At 39.1% G+C, this 5,784-nt stretch overlaps 1 annotated feature.

The window, feature by feature from the left end:
- Positions 1,558 to 2,757: an enhancer, noted in NCBI's record as "MED14-independent group 3 enhancer chr4:130972816-130974015 (GRCh37/hg19 assembly coordinates)". NCBI's record gives its function as "activates an origin of replication core promoter dependent on BRD2, BRD4, P300/CBP and CDK7 cofactors, and independent of MED14, by STARR-seq in HCT116 cells {active_cell/tissue: HCT116}" and the evidence as "EXISTENCE:reporter gene assay evidence [ECO:0000049][PMID:35650434]".

Raw genomic sequence — 5,784 nt, forward strand, 5'->3', positions numbered from 1 at the left:
GAGATGGGTTTCCTGAATACAGCACACTGATGGGTCTTGACTCTTTATCCAATTTGCCAGCCTGTGTCTTTTAATTGGAGCATTTAGCCCATTTACATTTAGGGTTAATATTGTTATGTGTGAATTTGATCCTGTCACTATGATGTTCGCTGATGATTTTGCTCATTAGTTGATGCAGTTTCTTCCTACCCTTGATGGTCTTTACAATTTGGCATGTTTTTGCAGTGGCTGGTACTGGTTATTCCTTTCCATATTTAGTGCTTCCTTCAGGAGCTCTTTTAGGGCAGTCCTGGTGGTGACAAAATCTCTCAGCATTTGCTTGTCTATAAAGTATTTTATTCCTCCTTCACTTATGAAGCTTAGTTTGGCTGGATATGAAATTCTGAGTTGAAAATTCTGTTCTTTAAGAATGTTGAATATTGACCCCCAGTCTCTTCTGGCTTGTAGAGTTTCTGCTGAGACATCCGCTGTTAGTCTGATGGGCTTCCCTTTGTGGGTTACCCGACCTTTCTCTCTAGCTGCCCTTAACATTTTTTCCTTCATTTCAACTCTGGTGAATCTGACAATTATGTGTCTTGGAGTTGCTCTTCTCAAGGAGTATCTTTGTGGCGTTCTCTGTATTTCCTGAATGTGAATGTTGGCCTGCCTTGCTAGATTGGGGAAGTTCTCCTGGATAATATCTTGCAGAGTGTTTTCCAACTTGGTTCCATTCTCCCCGTCACTTTCAGGTACACCAATCAGATGTATATTTGGTCTTTTTATGTAGTCCCATGTTTCTTGGAGGATTAGTTCGTATCTTTTTATTCTTTTTTCTCTAAACTTCTCTTCTCACTTCATTTCATTCATTTCATCTTCCATCACTGATAGCTTTTCTTCCAGTTGATAAAATTGGCTACTGAGGCTTGTGCATTCATCATGTAGTTCTCGTGCCGTGGTTTTCAGCTCCATCAGGTCCTTTGAGGACTTCTCTGCATTGGTTATTCTAGTTAGCTATTCATCTAATTTTTTTTCAAGGTTTTTAACTTCTTTGCCATGGGTTCAAACTTCCTCCTTTAGCTCGGAGTAGTTTGATCATCTGAAGCCTTCTTCTCTCAACTCGTCAAAGTCATTCTCCGTCCAACTTTGTTCTGTCACTGGTGAGGAGCTGTGTTCCTTTGGAGGAGGAGAGGCACTCTGATTTTTAGAATTTTCAGTTTTTCTGCTCTGTTTTTTCCCCATCTTTGTGGTTTTATCTACCTTTGGTCTTTGATGATGGTGACGTACAGATGGGGTTTCAGTGTGGATGTCCTTTCTGTTAGTTTTCCTTCTAACAGTTGGGACCCTCAGCTGCAGGTCTGTTGGAGTTTACTGGAGGTCCACTCCATACCCTGTTTGCCCGGGTATCAGCAGCAGAGGCTGTAGAACAGAGGATATTGGTGAGTAGCAAATGTTGCTGCCTGATCGTTCCTCTGGAAGTTTTGTTTCAGAGGAGTACCTGGCTGTGTGAGGTGCCAGTCTGCCCTTACTGGGGGGTGCCTCCCAGTTAGGCTACTCAGGGGTCAGGGACCCACTTGAGGAGGCAGTCTGTCCATTCTCAGATCTCCAGCTGCGTGCTGGGAGAACCACTACTCTCTTCAAAGCTGTCAGACAGGGACATTTAAGTCTGCAGAGGTTTCTGCTGCCTTTTGTTTGGCTATGCCCTGCCCCCAGAGGTGGAGTCTACTGAGGCAGGCAGGCCTCCTTGAGCTGCAGTGGGCTCCACCCAGTTCAAGCTTCCCAGCCGCTTTGTTTACCTACTCAAGCCTCGGCAATGGCGGGTGCCCCTCCCCCAGCCTCACTGCTGCCTTGCAGTTTGATCTCAGACTGCTGTGCTAGCAATGAGCAAGGCTCCGTGGGCGTAGGACCCTTTGAGTCAGGCATGGGACACAATCTCCTGGTGTGCCTTTTGCTAAGACCATTGGAAAACTGCAGTATTAGGGTGAGAGTGACCCGTTTTTCCAGGTGACGTCTGTCACCCCTTTCCTTCGCTAGGAAAGTTAATTCCCTGACCCCTTGCACTTCCGGGTGAGGCGATGCCTCGCCCTGCTTCGGTTCACGCTCGGTGCACTGCACCCACTGTCCTGCACCCACTGTCTGACAATCCCCAGTGAGATGAACCCGGTACCTCAGTTGGAAATGCAGAAATCATTGGTCTTCTGCGTCACTCACGCTGGGAGCTGCAGACTGGAGCTGTTCTTATTCGGCCATCTTGGCTCCACCCGGTATAATTTTCTATCTTTTAACTAACCTCTCCCTATGCTCCCTTCTCTCCCACCCTTTCCAGTCTCTAATAACCACAATTTTTTTTTGCATTCATCCTATAAATGCTTGTTGAGCATTTATTGTGTTCCAGAAGCTAAGATTGGCCCTGTGATTCACAACGAGGAACTGGGCATGGCCCAGTTCCTAGGGAACCCAAGTTTTGTATTAAACTCATGTTTTTGAGTCTTTTTCTCTATCCTTGCCTTTCCCTAGGATTAAGCTTGTATCATTGGGAGCTAGAATCATTTGTTTTTCATTATGTTACAATATTTTCTGACATGGTATCTGTGACATAGCAGATATTTAATACATTTTTATTGAACTGAATTGAGAAAATAAAAATTACTAGACTCTCTCTGGACTTTTTTGTTCAAAGCTGCTGGAGACTGAAATGTGATAGGTTGACAGAATGTCAGTTATTGGAAAGTAGGAAAAACAAATTTGAAAGCAGAGTAACTAGTTTTCTTCAACATTACTAATTATTTTAATAGAATTCCTTAACAGGAGATTCTGCAATTAGTTCATAATTTGCCATGAAAATATAAATGGATTTTTCTTCTATTAAGATTAAATATTAATCTAAACTTTGTTTTTTCAGTGCCTTTTTCCTGTTAATTTTAAGTTATTTCTTCTTCAATATGACAATGCAAACAAATCAGATTATCAATTAACAAAACATATCCTGTGTTTAGAGAAATCATCTTCAAGTGTAAACTAGCAGATGTGGGTTCTGGGCTTGAGCCTGCTCTGGGTGACATCTGTCACCACACTGATTGCCAGGTTGGACTTAGTGCCTTCCTCACTAATTCTTGCATCTTTCCCTGAAGCTGATTACCTGAAAAGAAACTTTTTTTGAGACAGAGTTTCGCTCTTGTTGCCCAGGCTGGCGTGCAATGGTGTGATCTCGGCTCACTAGACCTCTACCTCCCAGGTTCAAGTGATTCTCCTGCCTCGGTTTCCCCAGTAGCTGGGATTACAGGCATGACAGGTTAATTTTGTATTTTTAGTGGAGACAGGGTTTCTGCATGTTGGTCAGGCTGGTCTCAAACTCCCGACCTCAGGTGATCCGCCCACTTTGGCATCCGAAAGTGCTAGGATTACAGGCGTGAGCCACCATGCCAGGCCAAAAGAATCTATATTAATGAAAAATATTTTTCTATGAATGAGAGATGAAATTATGACACTATGTTTTTTTCACAGCAATCTGTTTATTCTCTTTGTAAAGATGATCCTACCTACATTATTTTCTGTATACAAAAAAATAAAATACAAAAATAGTTACTCAAATTTTGAACACGTTTGAAATCAAATTTGAACCAGGTTGCTTTAATTGCTCTGTTTGAGGGTTGGTGGACATGTATGAGCTTTGTATATTTCTCCCCTGTGTTGTCAAATACAAACCAAACTATTCAGGACACATTGCACCTCCCACTTCCTTCAATGACTGCAATTGAGAAGAACAGATGAAAGCTGTCTATGAGGCGTGTATGCCTTTCTGTGTTTCCTCTGCTCTTTGTTTCCAGTGTTTCTCTTCAAACAGCTCACAGTCCATAGTCAGCACAGAGGTCGCATGCACAGTGGGGGTTGACTTCAAGTTCCTTTTACCTTTTGCAACTATATTGCTGACTGTGCATTTTTAAAAAGGTCTTAAATTGGTAACTGACAAAGTTATATATAAAATAGTAAGACTTTGATGTTCTTGTTTTCTTCCTTCTAAAGTATGCAGTGGCAGTGAAAGATTGGGTAGACTGAGTAACCTTCCCAAGGGTAACTTTTATTAGGAACCAAATGAGTCCTGCCTTCCACAGATGTTTTTTTCAAGGCTGTATTTGTGCAGGTAACTCCAGAGGCAAGCTTTCTGTAAATAAACTTTCCTTTGTGACCACATATTCATAATTCTTGCCAAATGAAGCCAATGAAAGGTGATTTTAAAGATCAGCCAATCTTTGCTATGAAATTATTTTCTTTAATTATATCAAATAAATATAAAATGCTCTGGTCAGTAATTGATGACCAGAAGTATTTTATATTTACTGATAGTGGGAAAATGTCTATCTTATATATTTATCCGTGGGAAGTTAAAGCTTATTATTATGTTAAAAAATCAAAGTTACCCTAATCATAACCATAACATGAATTAGGCATTATGGAAATTTGATAATTAAAATTTATCAAAAGTTTGGTATTTGTGGAATCTTTGAGGGATATTTCATGCCCCCAAATATGTCCTGCAGGCTGATTTCTGCCCTAGCCTTATATCCATAGGTCATTTAAAGAAAAAAGATCAGGTTCCCAATTCAGATTTCTAATCCCTCGTGTCTTTCAGGCAGTGTTGTCAGATCATTAGGACCTAAAAGAAGAGTATTTTAAAATTCCCATTTGAGTCCCCTGCAACATTAATTCCCAGGTCATTTCAGTAATGCATACTTGGAAATTATTTAATAGTTATGCTAAATTATCCCATATGTATTGGGTACCTACAATGCACACTGCATGTCAATGTCAACCCAACCCACAATATACTCACTGGACAAATATCAAGGGTAATCAAAACTTTCTAGGATCTTGCTGAAATCAAAAGTTCATATTTCAGATGAAATTAACAATGACTAGGCAGACTCCTATGTATTCTTAAGACAGTAAATAGCTGTGATTAAATATACAACTTCCTTTTGCATTCACCCTGAGCATTCATCATAAAGTCGTGCATGTGTGTGGTAGCAGCAGCTGCATGCACTCAAAGTATACTTTATATGCCCTTTGAGCCTTTCCTCATTCCCATATCCCCATCCCACAAGTGAATTTGATATATTTTAGTGAGCTTATATTTCAAACATGTTTTTTACACTTAGTGTAGTTTTCATATGATACAGTAAAAACAGTGGTAAACATTCTGAAACATTACTGTAAATGTACATTATTATCATGAACCAATGTGTTTAGTACTTCTTCTAACTTTATATCAAATTTTGAAAGCATATCTTCTATGCAAATTTGACGCATTACTTCCTCATCTGACATTATATGATGTTATAGAATATAATCAACATTAAAATTTAAATTTAATTATTTTAAATGCATTTAATATATATGTATGTGTATATCTATATCTATAGACATGGCCATCTTAAGCAATATTTCCGAAAATTATCTAAATTTTCTTCAGGATCAAGTATCGACGTTGAATAAACAAAATGTCTAATTATTTACAATGGATTCTTATTTTAAAGTACATTATTTGTTGAGGGGTTATTGACAAAGTGGGATATGTTCATACAGGTGAAAGGACAAATGTAACAACTTTGGATATTTTCATTGTAAAGTGAAAGCCTAATTTCTAGGTTCTCACTTTATAAAGGAGAACTGAGAAATTAATACCACATACATATTGCAATATGTATGTATGTATGTATGTATATATCCATATTATTTTATGATTTTACTCTGTGGAAACTGTAAAAGAAAATCTAAAATTGTAGAGTGCAGGCCATCCCATAATAAAAA

Source organism: Homo sapiens, chromosome 4 (genome assembly GCF_000001405.40).
Source record: "Homo sapiens chromosome 4, GRCh38.p14 Primary Assembly".
NCBI lineage: Eukaryota > Metazoa > Chordata > Mammalia > Primates > Hominidae > Homo > Homo sapiens.